Source organism: Homo sapiens, chromosome 1, assembly GCF_000001405.40.
Source record: "Homo sapiens chromosome 1, GRCh38.p14 Primary Assembly".
NCBI lineage: Eukaryota > Metazoa > Chordata > Mammalia > Primates > Hominidae > Homo > Homo sapiens.
In genome coordinates this window covers 148331195-148347918 of record NC_000001.11, presented here as the reverse complement: position 1 = coordinate 148347918, position 16724 = coordinate 148331195, and the positions used below count along the sequence as shown (strand labels likewise).

Genomic DNA, 16724 nt, shown 5'->3' with positions numbered 1-16724 from the left:
GCTGATAACTGATAGTTGTTACCAAACCTCATCTGGCAAGCCTAAATGAATGAGCTAAAAAAGAAAAAGAAATCTGCTATAAGAAATAGAGATAGATGATGAATTTGCACATAAGATTATGTGGAGTTAGTATTGTACCATCTTTATTCTTTCAGAAATTTGGTTGGTAACATTAGAGATACTCCTCACATGCTTGGAATGCCTCTCATTATCTTCTTCAGGTTGCAAGGGCTCCAGAATAGTGACATAAAGGTGAACGTGAGCGCAAGATTTTTGCTGTAGTTCTTTGCTCTTTAATTTTTTTCTCTTAGAGGGATTAGCTTCCATGTATCTGAAATAATAAATCAAGAGTAGAGATAGGCATCTGTACCAGTTTTCTATTGCTGCCTATTAACACATGCAACAAACTAGTGGATTGAAACCACAGAAGTCTGGAACAGAGGCTGGGTTCTCTGATAAGGGTTTTAGGAAGCTGAATCCAGGTGTGTCTGGCTATGTAATTATGTGGAGCTCAGGCTACTTCTCCAAGTTCACTTCAGGTGTAGGAGGAATTCATTTTTGGGGGGTTGAAAGACTGGGTTTTCTTTTTGTGTGCTGGCTGTCAGGCAGGAGACGCTCTAACTCCAGAGGCCACCTGCATTCCTTCTCACCTGGCCTTTTCCATTTTCCAACCAATAACAGCTCATGGAGTCCTTCTCAAGCTCCCTTTCTTTCTGACATCACCCTCTCCTGACAGCTAGAGAAACCACTGGCATGTGTGCAGTGATGTGATTAAATCCAGTTTACACAGGTAACCTCACCATCTTAAAGTCATATAACTGGCATATAACAACATAATCACAGGAATGATGTTTCATCACCTTAACAGGCTTTAGAGACAAGGGTGTGGCATGTTTGGGGGCCATTTCAGAAATTCCATCTACCACAGTCGGACACTCACATTCCCCCATTTGCAAAATACATTCACCCTCTACTCTAAGGTTTCCAAATTTCATGTCATTAAAGCATTAGCTCAAAGTGAAAAATGTTATGTAGACCACACCAGATCAAAAGTTTAAAATCTTATCTTAGTCAACTATACCAAGTGTGAATGAGGCTTCTGAGGGTGTCCATTAAGTCCAGATCCTTGACATAATTCCCTTCCCTCTATCAACCTGTGAAACTGAACAAACGGCTTATCTGCCCTCTGTGTGCAATGGTGGGACAGACATAGAAAAATGATTCTAGCGATTCTTGTTCACAAAGGGGAAACATGGAAGTAACAAAGAAGTCACTGATCCAAAACTTTTTTGAAATTGGGCTGAGCAAAGTCCAGCAGGAATTTCTTGGTTAGGATCCAAAACCTGGAACTAACCCTCTGTGACATGGGGCTTGCCTCTGGGCTCTGCCTTTCTTTCTATCTTTATAGAAATCATTTTATTTTCCTTCTTCTCCTACTCCTTTGGTTCTTCCTCTTTCTACTTATGGCAGCATCCTCCCCTTAATCCTTGGCACATTATCCCCAGCAGAATTGGTCAAATGTTGCCCATGTCACGGTCCTGACCATCTCCATGAGGGGCTGTCCTTGTGACCCCCTGCTCCCCTGGGACCCTCTTCACTGACCTGACCTCTCTGTCATGATTGCTTCCAGCTGACCTGGCTGGTTTAGGAGAAAACCTAGAATTGTGGAGACCCAGAACCAATCTCTGCCCTGTCTTATCTCCAGGAGAGGAAGAAAATAACAGGTATCATCATGGAGAAATGACCCACATGAGGGCTGAGACTCTCCAGCAGTTTCAGGAGAGGAAACTCCCTGAAGAATGGAGGAGCTGAGATCCCAGGCTGGGAAAGCAGGCTTGTGTTAAACATTACTTAATCTTTATGTGCTCCCTGCCCCAATCTACCAGCCAGTGAATGACAACTGACTGAGCATAAATACTAGGACTGTAGAACGGTTATAAAGCGTTTGTCCAAGGAAAAGCCCTTTTACTTTATTTGTTTTCACAGTGGAAATTGCTGTTTTTGATCCAAAGTTTTCTGAAACACAGCAGTGAGTTCCTGGAGGGTGAGTTAGCTGCTTTAGACCTGGAGGCTGAGGCCAAGGCTTGTGTGGTCGATCTGCTGCCACCATGTGGTGAGGGAGCCTGGGAGAGTCTTAGTCTTTCTTGGCTTCACTTTCCTCCTCAGTGAGTTAGGGGCTTATTGTTCCTCTCTGAGGTCCCTTCCTACTTTGTTTTCTCTGAGTCTCTGAGGAACTGAGATGGTTTTTAATGCCACCCAGGACCTGCAGCTGAGACCTGACTCTGTGTGTCTCCTGCAGGAGCCTGAGCTGAGTCCCTACACTGGAAGCCCAGAACTGAGGGAACAGATGAAAGAAAGAAAGTCAGCAGGTTTAGGGGATGAGAACAACCCACAAAGGACAAGCCATTGGTAAATGAAAACCAAAGAAGGGGGAAATAAGGACAAATTGGGACAGAAGCCTCAGGGGAAATGGGCAATGCCTATCATCATCCAAGCCCTCAAGGAGTAGCGTGAGCTGAGCAGTGGGGACTGAGAGAGAAATTTACTCCACAGGAGTCTCCTGCCCCTGGCCAGGGAGAGCCACAGGGTGGATCAGAGCTGGTTTATAGTGAGGGGGCAGCAGCAACTCCAAGGGGGGAAGATGCGACCATGAGCCCCGCCCCAGACCCAGGAGCCTTGACCTTGGGGCTGCCATAGCAGTGGATGCTCTTCAGGTCAGTGTGGGTTAGAGGGAATAACCATGCTGGGAGAAGGGTTGGAGACATCCATTCTTACATAAAAAGCTCTGCCCTAGGTCAGGTGCCAGAGTAAGCGTCCCTTGCTAGTATACAAAGCAGTGATACTTATAATATTCTTCTGTACTTACAGTTGAAGGAGGTTTCCAAATGATATCTCATAAATATTTATTGGGTGTTTAATTTTCTTTACATTGTGTTAAACACTTGGGATTCAGATATTAATGTCTCCCCAAAGGAACTCAAGCCCATGAGAGAAAGAACAGAAACATAGCATTTTAAGAAAATATGGAAGTTCCCCCATATTGGGGTGTTGTGGCAACCCAGAGAGTGGGAGTTTAGGTGAAGACATTGCTCCTAACGACAGGGGGAACCATAAGAGGACTTCTTCAGAACAGACTCATTTTCCTCTAATGTCCCACAGAGACGGATCCTGGGGCATGAATGGTGTAAGGCAAGGGCCAGTCTAAGGAAAGGGATTTGCTGCATCCTGGGAGAAATCTCAGCATCCCTGACAGGATATTTGGGACAGGAATGCAGGTGAGAGGAGGTTTGCAATCGCTTTTATTCAATAATTGATGAACACTCTCCTGAGAACTCCCTCAGTGCTAGACCCTGAGCTGGGAACCATGAACACAGAGATTAGTAAGATATGATCTCAGCTTTCACAGAACTCTCAGTCTAGTGACCAGCGATTCCTGAGAAGTATGGTGATGGTGGGTTCATTGGAACCAGTGGTTCATGCTGCATGGAGATTACCTCAGTGGATGGCCTGGTCTCTCTTCTGTTTTTTTTCAAACAGCTGAATGACCTGTCCTGGGCCAGTGAACCTGGACTTCAACCAGATGTCAGAATCTCAAGGTACAACCAACATTTTCGCTCCATGTTGGGTCAAAACAGTTAACACAGCCAAGATATTCAAGGTTTCAGTAGATACTGACTAAGTCCTGGCCAGCTGTGAAAAGAAAGAGGTGAGTTTAACAAGAATTCTAAAATTGTCCTTGACATAGTAATCACAGATGATCTATCTTCTGTCTACTTTTATATATATATATATATTTGTGATGGAGTTTCGCTCCTTTTGCCCAGGCTGGAGTGCAATGGCATGATCTCAGCTCACTGCAACCTCTGCCTCCGGGTTCAAGTGAATCTTCTGCCTCAACCTCCTGAGTGGCTGGGATTACAAGTGTAGGCCACCATGCCCGGCTAATTTTCTATATTTTCAGTAGAGATGGACTTTCACCATGTTAGCCAGGCTGGTTTCAAACTCTTGACCTCAGGTGATCCACCCACCTCAGCCTCCCAAAGTGCTGGGATTACAGGTATGAGCCACCGTGCCTGGCCTCTGTTTGGTAATTGAAATGCTTTGCAGACTTCAAGATTCACCTGTGTCCAAAATAAATTCTATATCAGTCATAGTACTAGCATTTAGAAATTGTGTATTTTATCCTCTAATTATAGATTAAATACCTAAGGTGGAAAGGAGTAAAGCAGCTTCCATGAATGTAGTGAGAATGTAGGGGGGTTAGGGACTAAAGTCCTGCCTTAGGATTCCCCAGCAGTTGCCAGTCACAATTTTTGTACTCTAAGAAACAACAACAACAACAATAACAACAAAATGACAACCTGTTTTGTTCCTCTGCTTACCCTATCCAATTCTCTACACCATAACATCTCTGCTTATCAGGCAACTTGGATTCTCAATTTGTTGAGCTCAACAAGTGCATTTCCTGAGCCCCTGTGAGTAAAGCATTATGCTAGTTATGGCGGGTGATACAGAGGAAGCACAGAAGAGTCCTTAGTGACAAGAGCTTAAGATTTCTGCTCCCAGCTCAGCCTGAGTTGCCTGGAGGTGAGAAAATCAGTAGCCGACACACAGGTGCATTCTGGTGAAAGGGTCGATGATAATGAATAGTGGTTCTGACAGGGCTGGGCTCTTAACCTCCCAAAGATGCTGGTCAAACAGGATCTGGAGGATCTCTGCACATAGTGTCTGACTACTGACTGTCATAAATGAATGTCGCCAAGTCTTGGCCTGGATCCCCTCCCTTTGTTTCATTTCACAGATTACATGTTGACAGCAGGAAAATCAACAGAAAGACCATGAGGCTAGACTCCAAAAGACTTAGTAATGCTGCTGGGTGGGCCATGAATTTCTAAAAACTCGTGAAGGGCCTTCTCAGAAGTGAAGTTTTAGGAAATATAAAATGCATAGCTGGGATACATTATAGTGTACTGATAGAACAAATATTGGATATAGCAGCATCTAATAACTTCTGGAGGAAAAAATATTTTTCACATTACTCCAATTATGGCCTCATACGTCAAAAAAAAAAAAACAACAGCAACAACAACAACAACTAAGAGAACCACTAACATCCATTGGTTTTGCAGAAACAGGATACCCTTAGTGTACCTAAAATTGGAAAAATGGCTCTGCCTTTAGGGCCATGGAATGAAACAGACTGTGTGGTAGTTGACACAGGAAGAACAGAGTGGAGTTTATAACAATGGCCACAAGACAGTGAAGAAAATGCTTTGGGGTTCTTAAGCAGCAGACGAGGTGACTCAGAGGAATGTTAGACAATCGCAGAAAAGCAACTTTAGCAACATTTTCAACTCAGTGGGCACTGCATACTTAGTCCATGCTCTGCATCCATTCTTTCACAGTCTGTCCCTTCATCAACTTGGGCCTACAATGACTTTTCTGGGAGAGGAGAGGGATCAACACAACAGCATGCACACACCTGAAATAAAGAATGGATTTCTAATTTTCAGATTTTAGTCTCTGACCTAACCAAAGAAGTGACTACCATAGATGTTAACTATTAATAACATAAATGATGCTACTAAATATGCAGATCTTATATAACAAGGTAAAACAGCTTAAAAAATAGATGGTAGAACTGTAGTCCAGGGACGCTAATAGAAGTGACCCATAACATTACATCATCTCCACTTCCAATAACAATCAGGTAAAAGAAGGAAGGAGACTGGCAACCCAATGCACAGAACTATATATAACAGGCATACTATTTATTGGTTGGTTATAAACCAGTGGGAATAAATCTTTGTATATACTGACTCTTGGTTTATGTCACTGAGGCACAGCATGGAACAATAGAAACCGGACTGTAAGATAAATTCATTTGAGTAACTGGACTTTTGTAAACCATTAGACAGACATTTGAGAAGCCAAATTTAAAGCTGTTTGTGAGCCATGTTAGCCTATCAAGGTTGAAATTCAGGAGAGATACATAATGACAAATAAATGCTTTTGGTTTTTTGTGACACAGTGATCTGATGCATTGGGAATGTGATCTTGTGAATCACTCAGGTGAGCAAGCCTGACATGAGTGGGCATAAAGGTCAGTAACTGAAGAGGTACCAAAATGTGCTACATGTGTCAATTGTGACCTAAAGAACTGAAGGCATTCACCCTCCCTTGAAGTAATGAAGCTGACACAGCAGGGGGCTGCAAATTCCACTGCAGATCAGGGTCTTGAAGCTGACATACTGAAGAGTGGACTCTCACTTGAGATACAGAGTAGGAACTACTGTTTCCTATGGCTACTGAATATCCCACAAACTAATCTCCTCAGCATGCCATTATTAATTATTTTAAAGCTCTTTAAGGTCTCATTTTATAATAGATCACATCAGAAGGAAGACTAATAAGGATCAGGTACAAACTCATACTTGCTGGACATATCATTGCATATCATCCCAAAGTTTCTGGCACTACATAATACTGGAGTAAATTCTTGAATATTAAATTTTAAACTAAGGGAGAACATTGGCTTCTAAATTTTACAACTATAGTATTGCAGCTAAACACAAGTGCAAATGGGCAGCCTTATAACTGCATGAGTAATCTTAATGAAAACTTATTGGCAAACATACAGAACATTTCACATGCATTTATCTACAAAGTACAACTCTTCCCAACCTCAGAACTTGATATGCGTTAGGACTTTCCTCTCCCTTGGGCTGGTGATAAAGGTCCAATTGAAATGAGAAAGATTCTTCATGCCTGGTAAATATGAAAGTTTCCAAAGATACTGCCACTGGCCGATCAAACCTGAATTCAAAAAGCATTTGTTTCTAGCAGGATATAAGATCAATATGCAAAAATAAATTGTATTTATGCAATTGCACGGCAGAATTTAAATGTAAAAGGAATATCATTTACAATAATGTCAAGTGTATAAAATCCATAAATGTGAATATGACTGAAAATTAGAGCATATTTCACAGAGAACATAGTGCAGGCCTAATAACTGGAAAGATATTGTTTGTTCATGTGTAAGAATATTGTTGAGATGTCCATTTCCCCTAATTTGATCTATAAATTCAATGCAATCTGACTCAAAATTTCAGCATGCATCGTTGGTAGAAAATGGCAGCTGATTCTAAAATTAACATGAACTAGCATAACAAAAATGCCTATATAACGAAGAGCAAAATTGGAGGGCTAGCTCCACCTGATTTAAAGAACAATCACAGAGTTGTAATGGCCACAACAGAGCTTTGGTATGTGATCAATTAAATGGATCAAAAGAAAATAGAGTCCAAATATAAACCAATACATATATTGAGAACAGATTTTTGACAATCTTAAAAAAGCAATGTATTTAAAAATACATAATATTTCAACAAATGATTGAGGATTTTCTTTTTAAGCAATTGATGTAACATATTTGTAACTATATAAAAATAAACAAGTAGAAAAAATTGAATTCATGTGTCATATCATATATAAAAATTAGTGGTTACAAGAGGCTGAGAAGGAGATAGGGGATAGGCTGAGAGAAGGAGATGGGCTGAGAAGGAGACAGGAGAGAAGGAAGAAAAGGTATTGGTTAATGCATATAAAATATAGTTAAATAGAAGGAATAAGTTCTAGTATTTGATAGTATATACAAAAATAACTTCTTGTATATTTTAAAATAACTAGAAGAGAGGAATTGGGATATTCCTAACATAAAGAAAAGATAAAGTTTTGAGGTGACAGATATACTACTTACACTGATTTGATCATTACAAATTGTATATGTTTATCAAAATACCATGTGTATCCCCAAAATGTGTACAACTATTATACATTAATTAAAATAATGAAAAGTACATCTTAGACAAATTAACAATGATTCCAATCCGATCAATTATTTTTTCTGACCACAATGGTATGAAACTAAAAATTAACTACATAAGGAAAACTGGAAAATTCAAAAATACATGGAAATTAAACAACATAACTCTTAACAACTGACTGATCAAAGAACAAATCAAAAGGGAAATTTGATTGAGGCAAACAAAAGTGAAAACAAACAACATAATCTTTTGGAAACAGCAAAAACAGCTCTAAGAGTCAAGTTTATAACCATAAATGCATACATTAAAAAAGAAGAAAGACTTCAAATAAACATTACACCTCAAGAAACCAGGAAAAAAACAACAAAATAAATCCAAAGTTCAGTGAAGAAAGGAAACAACATATCGATGCAGAAGTCAATCAACTGAAGAATAGAAATACTACAGAAAAATAAACAAAACTGAGTTGTTGGGTTTTTTTTTTCCTTTTCCTTTCTCTTTCTCCCTCTTTTTAGGAGAGACAACATCTTACTATTCTTCCCAGGCCTACTGGGAACTACTGGCCTCCAGTGGTGATGCAACGTAGGCCTCTCACACCCAAGTTGTATTTCTGGAAAAAGTAAAATTAACAAACACTTGGCTAAACTAAGAAAAAAATAGAGAAGACTCAAATAAATAACATCCGAAATGAAAGTGGAGGTATTACAACAGAAGCCTCACAAGTAAAAAGGATCATAAGAAACTATCATTAACAGCTCTATACCAACAAATTGGATAACCTAGAGTAAATGGATAAATTCTTAGAAACATACAAACGACTAGGATTGAATCAAGAAGAAACCGAAAGCCTGAACGACCAATAACAAATAAAAGGACTGAAGAACCTCCCAACAAAGAGAAGCCCGGGACCAAATGGCCTCACAGCCGAACTCTTCCAAACATTCAAAAAAGAATCGGGCGCGATGGCTCACTCTTGTAATCCCAGCACTTCGGGAGGCCAAGGAGGGCAGAGTACCTGAGGTCAGGAGTTCAACACCCTGGCCAACATGGTGAAACCCCGTCTCTACTAAAAAAATACAAAAATTAACCGGGGGTAGTGGTGCGTCAGTGTAATCCCAGCTACTTGGGAGGCTGAAGTGGGAGGATTGCATGAGCAAGGGAGGTTGAGGCTGCAGTGAGCTGAGACTGCATCACTGCAATCTAGCCTGGGCAACATAGCGAGACCATGTCTTAAAAAAAAAGAAAGAAAGAAAAGAAAAGGAAAAAAGAAAGAAAGAAAAAGAAAGAAAGAAAGAAAAAGAAAGAAAGAAGGAAAGAAAGAAAGAAAGAAAGAAAGAAAGAAAGAAAGAAAGAGAAAGAAAGAGAAAGGAAGAAAGAAAGAAAGAAAGAAAGGTATTGCTGATGAAACTGTAGCCTCTTTCACAGCTCATCAAAAAGCTATTCATTCACTGGCTAAGGTTGTACTAGATAATCGCGTCACTTTAGATGATGTATATTTTCAAAGACACTATTAGCCTTATTTAAAAATGGGTAGAACCTGGGCTAGGTGGCTCATGCCTGTAATGCCAGCATTTTGGGCAGCTGAGGTGGGTGGATCACCTGAGGTCAGGAGTTTGAGATCAGCCTGTCCAACAGGGTGAAACCCCGTCCCTACTAAAAATACAAAAATTAGCTGGGCACAGTGGCATCTTCCTGTAGTCCTAGCAACTTGAGAGGCTGTGGCAGGAGAATCGCTTGAACCCAGGAGGCAGAGGCTGCAGTGAGCCGAGATCGTGCCACTGCACTCCAGCCTGGGAGACAGAGAGAGACTCTGTCTCAAAAAAATAAAAACAAAACAAAAACAATGGGTAGATACAGCAGCACTTACAAGAGTTCATAAAAGGAATTGTACATTGTCAACTGATAGTGTGGAGAGAGCAGCCCCCTGCCCACCTGGTTGTGATCTATGCACAACGCTTGCCCACAACCACCTTCTCCACTTAGTACAACGCAGCCCAGAACACCAAGGGGAGAGCCCCAGCAACAGCAGCCTCCGCAGCCCGCTTTAGATGATAGATTTAGCTGAGCAGGGAGGTGGATGTGTGGTGTTTACAACCTCTTGTTGCATATACATAAATAAATACTTCCCATGAAGTAGAACCTCATCTAGAAAAAATTAGAAGTCATTTGGCTACAAGAAATCATGAAAGAAGAACTGGGATGTGATGTTTTCCCTGATGTTTTTCGTTGGCTCCCTAATGGAATAGGTTCCCTTACTGTTCTGGCATACAGATTCTCTTTGTGATTCTCATTCTTGTGTGAATTATATGTGTACTATTCAAATAATTAATGCTATATATTTCCTGCTTCTGAGAAAACTGATTTTATGGTATCTGAAGACTAGAAATGATTCAACGAGTGATAGCTGCAGACTTAACTGAGGTCTCTCTCTCCTCCTTTTTTTCTTTTCTTCTCTTTTTCTTTTTTTTCTACTCGGTGTCACCCTTTCAATTGGGCTTTTGGGTGCTCTTAAAAATTCCTCAGTGAGGCAGCTCCTTTCCTCCCCTGCCCTCACCGTGGGAAAGACTATCTGGGAATGAGCTTTCCTGGCAAAGAGGGACACGTTGGCTGAGCTTTTGATCATCAATGCTTTCAAGAAGAAAGATTTTTTAAAGAATTTTTATCTGAGGAATGTGAGCCACTTCACATGATCAGAGAGACATTAAATCAAGACAGCAACCACTTTCTGCTTCCTTCTTTTTGAGCTATGTATTCATCTGTTGAAACTGCTTGCTATCACCCCAGGTAGCTGTAAATTAATCTAATAATGCCACACCAAACACTGTATCCCACACCCTATAACAAGGGATAGCCAAGCTCTCATCAATGCTATTTCTGAAAGCCAATGAGAATTCCTGACGGGCACCTTTCTATCAGCCCATTGTGCATCCCCCCCTTTTGACTTTTAAAAACCTGCTTGTGACAAAGGCCAAAGGGAGCTCAGATCCAAGGTTCTTTGGGTGTGAGTCTTCCAGGCAGCTGTCTTCACATTGGCTCAAGTAAACTCTAGATTCTATTTTGTGATTCAGCCTCTTTCTTTTAGGTCAACATGTTCAGCAACAGTAGAATAAATAGATAAGTTGGCCGATATTCATACAAAGGATTGTGCACAGAAACAAATAACCACATGAGTAACATGAAAAATTCATAGATGTAAGACTGAGTGAAAGAAATCAAACCTATGCCTCTGCTCCTGAGACCGACTTTGAAAAAATTATAACTGGGACAATTATCACAGCAAAAGAGATCTGACCTAACTGCTTCCGTCTTGCTTCTAACATCCAAGCTGTCTTTGTTCTTTCCTGGGCACAGGCCAAAATAACTTTGAGAGGAACTTAGTTTATGGTTTAGCTGTGAAACAAAGATGATAACAGCTCTTTCCCAAAACAAACCCCCTTCCTGCCTGGGGACTAGGCTGCCTTTGCAGGACTAACAAATTAGCCACAAGATTATAAATCATGGTTTAGGATCATGCAGCCTCTAGCTTACAAGATTCTAAACCTCCCCAAGTTGTTCCTGGGGATCACATCACCATTGTAAAACCTAAGATCGGTTTGTGAGATATTTTGTAGCCCTGCACTCGATGCATCAGCTGGCACCACCCAGATGGATAAACCAGCTCATCTGATCCTGTGGCCCCCACCCAGGAACTGACCCAGCTCAAGAGCATGCTTTAGCTCCCTGTGAGTTCATCTCTGACCTGTCCAATCAGAACTCCCAACTCACTGTCCCCCACCCACCAAATTATCCCTAAAAACTCTGGTCCTAGAATGCTCAGGAAGACTGATTTGAGTAATAATAAAACTCTGGTCTCCCACACAGCCAGCTCTGGGTAAACAACTTTCTTTATTGCAATTCCCCTGTCTTGATAAATTGGTTCTGTCTAGGCAGCAGGCAACAGGAACCCACTGCGCAGTTATACTCCCCCAAAACCCACTACACACTTTATGATTTGATTTATATGAAAGCAAAGGACAGGAAAAACTTGCCTGATAGATTTGGAGTCTGTGGAGTATTGTCAGAGTTTGGGATTGTATTCTACAAATTAAAAGTAATCAGTTAAGCACCTCAAATAAAATTTCCCCCAATTTTTTTTCTCCAAATTTGGACCACTTGTTTCTCTCTTTGCAGAATATAAAGTGCTAACATGAGGTAAGTGCTACGGTCTACAGAAGGCCATGGAAGAGATGACAAACTCCAGCACCATGCCTGAGTGTCCAGTGTGCTCTGCTGGGGCAGCATATTTGTACATTGCTGTATTTGAAAAAATCCTACAAGATTCATGAAATTGGACCACCGTCTTTATAGCACTACTAATGGTAAAACAAGTAAGGATGGCTGGTTTGCAGTCATCTGAGCAGCATCTCTAGTTTCATAGATATGGTTTCTCTCTGATACTGAACGGCTTCCAATTTCAAGTAGAATGCTACATCAGAAGAATAACGATGGGAAGAGAACTAGTTTCTTGTGTAATCCTACATGTTTTAGTCTGCGCATTACAAACCATTATTTGAAGAAGGGTGGACAGCCTCCAGCTGTCTGCCAAAGAGGTCATCGGCAACACAGGCTAAGAACCGGCTTCTGGGCGGGCATGATGGCTCAGCCTGTAATCCCAGCACTTTGGGAGGCCGAGGCGGGCGGATCACCTGAGGTCAGGAGTTCGAGATCAGCCTGGCCAACATGGTGAAACCCCGTCTCTACTAAAAATACAAAAATTAGCAGGGCTTGGTGGTGTGCTCCTGTAATCCCAGCTACGCAGAAGCCTGAGGCAGGAGAATCGCTTCAACCCTGGAGGCGGAGGTTGCAGGAAGCAGAGATGATGCGACTGCACTCCAGCCTGGGCGACAGAGCGAGACTGCGGCTCAAAACAAAAAACTACAACAGAAACACCTGCTTCCTTGGAAAGATTGGGGCGGGGAAGGGAGGGAAAGGAAGGAAAGGCAGACGTCACTGTCCCCGCAGTCTCTGGCAGCATGTTGGTCGGCTGAGTGGCAGAAGGTGGGGCGGAAAAGCAGAGCCGGACGGGAAAGGCGCTGTCAGTGACATCACGGATAGGGCGACTTCTATGTAGATGAGGCAGCACAGGGGCTGCTGCTTCGCCACCGGCTGCTTCGCTACGAAGGAGTTCCCGTGCTGTGGGAGCAAGTCCAGGACCGCTGTTCAGACCTGAAAGTCCCAGCTGTGTGTCAAGGCTGGAAGGGCTCCGGGGTGCGCGGGGCAAGTGACCGTGTGTAAAAAGGGTGAGGCGTGTGGAGCAGTAGCAAGACGGAAACGTGTGAACTCCTAATTACCTGGCATCGGAGAGGACGTTATGAAGGTTGTTTTCCCAGGGCGTTGCTTTTCCATTGCACTGTGGACGTGCTGATCCTGCGATTAACCCAAATGGGAGAAATTTGGCTGCACAATAACAGTGGAGAACTGCGTTAGTGCTTTCCGCTGAAATCTTGCAGTGCAAAAAGTGAATTCTGCAGGAAGGGCTACTCTTAGTTTCTACTTAGCTTTCTACGGGTTTGTAGCTTTGCTGGCATGTTAAGTGTTGTCCTACAGTCGCAAGCATAAGAAAGAGAAAGTATTGTGTTACTGTCCTCTCCGCCCCTATCATGAGCTTGCTTAACACAAGCTAAGTGGCCCCAGTGCTCTTCTCTTCCCTTTCCACGTGGGGCTGCTTTTTCAAGATTGCTTCATGGTCTCCAGTGTCTTGGGTTCTCACCCTATGTGAAAACCTTCGTGTTTTTTCGTAGCCCCCGGAGTCACCTTTCACACAGCCTGTGCTTCTAACCGCAGCCCCCACAGAAGTTTGTAGGATTTCTGTGCTAGCGGGGAATGTGTTCTCACCTCCTAGAGCCAGGTAGAAATTCTAGGCAGACGGGTGCTGTTCTTTGGGATGAAAGCAGTGTCCCTGTTCGGTTGTAGACACAACACGCTTGCTTTCTGTAGGGGAACGGCTCTCCCCGCGCCCAGGTGCCCTTGCTTATGTTCACCGAGGCCTTCAGGTCAGAACCGCAGTCTGACTTGTCGGCAGAATGTGTCGGCGATCTACCCCAACTACCCAGCAATAAAATGGGACACATTACAGAAACATGAGATAGCATGGATTACCTCAAAAACATCATGCCGAGTGATGAAAAGAGGGCATCCTGTGTGGCGCCATCAAGGTGAATTTCTAGAACAGGTAAAACTAACCTGTATAGTGACAGAAAATACATCATTAATTGCTGGGGCCAGGGGGAGGGCGGGACTGACTGCAAAGGGCACAAGAGGACCTTTTAGAGTAATAGTCATCAAACTTGAAATGGATGCATTGTACCATAGGCAACTCACACCTTAACTTGGTTGTAAAAAGGAATAAGAAAACCACTCCAAATCTTAATGTCTTCTCCTTAATTTAATGTATGTTTGCCCTTAGAGGAGTCGTTTAGACAAATGTCTTTCTAACTGTGCTAGGGAGTTCAGGAATTCCTTCATTTCTGTTTCTGTCTCTTTGTCTGCAGTTAAGTTCATGCACTATTAAGTGGAATATTTGTAAAATAAAAATAGAGTCTAAGCTCAATTTTATAAAAGCATACATATATGTTTTTATATATTTTTATATTTTTAAATATAGAATTATATATACTATATAATTTTATATATTAAATATATATTTTATATATTTTTATAATTTTATAATTTTTTCAGGCATATATATCCTTCTTTATTTTTTTTCTTCTTTTTTCTTTTGTGGGGCCTGGGGGGAACAGTCTAGCTAAAATATACTTTCTTCTCTCTGTAGATATAACACAATACCATGACTCCAGTGTTGCCCGAATGTTATGAGAAGTTATTTTTGAACTTAAGGTGATCAAAAATTTTACATATGTTTACATTTTCTCTACTGTTAGTACGGTCTATGCTTAGCATGTATAAATTTTTTTTAAAAAAGACAATAGCTTAAAAATGATTCGGAAGAAAAATATGTAGATATGTTAACAGTAGTTAATTCCAGGAGGTGTGAATATGGATGACCAGTTATCTTCCTCTTTATGAATTTTTTATATTTTTAAATGGAAAATCCTCAATGACCTGGAAGTGAATGAACAGATTAGATTTGGAAGGGGTGTAGGGCAGGTGAGAGGAAAATGTTAAGGGAAGGACAAACCCAGTTCTGGCAGGACCATGTTTAAGTTGAAGGTTTCTGGGGAGAAGTTGTTGGGATAAGAAGGATATGAAGGAGGCAGGAGAATCATGAAAATATTTAGGACAGTGTATTGCCTGTCTTATCATTCCTCCTCCTTTTGTGTTTCTTCAAAAGAAATACAAAGACTTAACATTTCTTTTGAAGCATGCTTACAATTTGTGTTTCTCTTTTATTAGTGTAACTGCCTGGTAAGTTTATTCTGCCCATTGCCCAGATAAGCCAATGGAGCTGAGAACAGCAGGCTTTCCACAATAGAGAAAGAATTTAACAAATGCAGATGCAGCTGAGGGACCAGGACAGGGGTTTATTATTACTCAAATCTGCCTCCCCCAAAATTCAGAGACTAGGGTTTTTGTTTTGTTTTGGTTTTGGTTTTTGGTTTTTGGTTTTTTGTTTTTTAAGGATAGTTTGGCAGGCAGGGGGCTAGGGAATGTGCAAAGCTGATTGGTTGGAAATCACAGGGTGTAAGAGCTTGTTTACTTGCACTGAGTCAGTCCCTGGATGGGGCCACAGGACCAGATGAGCCAGTTTACCAGTCTGAGTGGTACCAGCTAGTCCATCACAAGGCAGGGTCTGAAAAATATCTTAAACACCAATATTAGGTTTGACACTAATAATACTATATATAGGCACAATTGGGGAGCTTAGGAATCATGTGACTTCTGGCTGCACGGCTCCTGAGCCATAAATTCCAATCTCGTGCCTAATTTGTTAGCTTTGCTAAGGAGGTCTGATCCCCAAGAAAGGAAGGGGTTTGTCTCAGGAGCGACAATCATCTTTGTTTCAGAGTTAGACTAAACTAAACTCCTCTCATAGTTAGCCTGGCCTATTCCCAGGAATGGACAAGGGCAGCTCAGAGATTAGAAGCAAGATGCAGTCAGTTAGGTCAGATTTCTTTCACAGTCATAGTTTTCCTATGTCAGGTTTTTCTCACTGTCATAATTTTTGCAAGGGTGATTTTGTTAGGAGCAGTATAAACACAGTGGTTCTGAGAATGTCTTCTGGAGCCAGGCTGCCTTCACTTCAAATTCCTGCTTTCAAATTCTTCTTTGCTGGCTGAGTGACCCTGGACAGGTCACTTAACATCTTTGTGCATCTCAGTTTTCTCATATGGAAGATGAAGGTGATGATGTGACCTCGGCCTGAGGTAAGGACTAAATGAGTAAACATATGCACACTCATCAACTGTGCCTGACATGTGGCACTTTGTGTTGCAGGCACAGTTGATGATGTGCATGTGTTTCTCATGTGCATGTTAGCTCTTGTATTTTGCCTGCAACACTGCACAAAGAGCAGATGTGATGAAAACCAGTTGTACTGAAGTTACAGCAGTGATACTTTCCAATGGCCATGCACCCTCCCAGGGAGACTGCAGCAATCCTCTCACCAGCAGTAACCTCCTGGGCTGGGAGATCCCAGGAAGGCCCCTTAATCTCCAGCAGGTTTGACCCTCTAGGAGCTTCAGGGAATGAGCTAGAGAAGTATTTCTATCTGGGGGGAACTGGGAGTTTATTAGCTCATCTGTTCAGCTCATCCAAAGGGGAATAATGATGCAATTTCTTGCTTCAAATCTGCCCCAGTAAAATTCTTATAGTTTTACAGTCAAAGACATTTGTACATGTCGGGGAGGAAATATGACTTTTCCTCACCCAGCCTAGGTTCACTGCTGAGACCCTCAC

General features: G+C 41.8%; 2 long non-coding RNA genes, 1 other non-coding gene and 1 pseudogene across 3 annotated transcripts, besides 6 other annotated features; 3 read left to right on the top strand and 1 right to left on the bottom strand.

The window, feature by feature from the left end:
- Window positions 1-2923: 2923 nt before the first annotated feature.
- Window positions 2924-12505, top strand: LOC124904402 (uncharacterized). Its single transcript, XR_007066574.1, has 3 exons — window positions 2924-3275; window positions 3538-3706; window positions 12000-12505. It is a non-coding gene; the product is annotated as an uncharacterized LOC124904402 (long non-coding RNA).
- On the bottom strand, window positions 3285-14054 carry LOC124904404 (uncharacterized). The gene is made up of 3 exons (XR_007066576.1): window positions 13968-14054; window positions 13160-13265; window positions 3285-3690 (listed from the first exon to the last, which is right to left on the bottom strand). It is a non-coding gene; the product is annotated as an uncharacterized LOC124904404 (long non-coding RNA).
- Window positions 12165-12672: an enhancer, noted in NCBI's record as "NANOG-H3K27ac-H3K4me1 hESC enhancer chr1:147807371-147807878 (GRCh37/hg19 assembly coordinates)". NCBI's record gives its function as "activates a minimal SCP1, AML or CMV promoter by ChIP-STARR-seq in naive and primed H9 embryonic stem cells {active_cell/tissue: H9 hESC(naive and primed)}" and the evidence as "EXISTENCE:reporter gene assay evidence [ECO:0000049][PMID:30033119]".
- Window positions 12508-12617: an enhancer, noted in NCBI's record as "active region_1643". NCBI's record gives its function as "activates an Ori minimal core promoter by ATAC-STARR-seq in GM12878 lymphoblastoid cells {active_cell/tissue: GM12878}" and the evidence as "EXISTENCE:reporter gene assay evidence [ECO:0000049][PMID:35858748]".
- Window positions 12673-13182: an enhancer, noted in NCBI's record as "NANOG-H3K27ac-H3K4me1 hESC enhancer chr1:147806861-147807370 (GRCh37/hg19 assembly coordinates)". NCBI's record gives its function as "activates a minimal SCP1, AML or CMV promoter by ChIP-STARR-seq in naive H9 embryonic stem cells {active_cell/tissue: H9 hESC(naive)}" and the evidence as "EXISTENCE:reporter gene assay evidence [ECO:0000049][PMID:30033119]".
- Window positions 12673-13197: a biological region, named in NCBI's record as "NANOG-H3K27ac-H3K4me1 hESC enhancer GRCh37_chr1:147806861-147807370".
- Window positions 12898-13197: an enhancer, noted in NCBI's record as "active region_1642". NCBI's record gives its function as "activates an Ori minimal core promoter by ATAC-STARR-seq in GM12878 lymphoblastoid cells {active_cell/tissue: GM12878}" and the evidence as "EXISTENCE:reporter gene assay evidence [ECO:0000049][PMID:35858748]".
- On the top strand, window positions 13152-13307 carry RNVU1-21 (RNA, variant U1 small nuclear 21; annotated as a pseudogene).
- On the top strand, window positions 13365-13440 carry MIR5087 (microRNA 5087). Its single transcript, NR_049810.1, has one exon. It is a non-coding gene; the product is annotated as a microRNA 5087 (primary transcript).
- Window positions 13548-13627: an enhancer, noted in NCBI's record as "active region_1641". NCBI's record gives its function as "activates an Ori minimal core promoter by ATAC-STARR-seq in GM12878 lymphoblastoid cells {active_cell/tissue: GM12878}" and the evidence as "EXISTENCE:reporter gene assay evidence [ECO:0000049][PMID:35858748]".
- Window positions 14055-16724: the final 2670 nt, after the last annotated feature.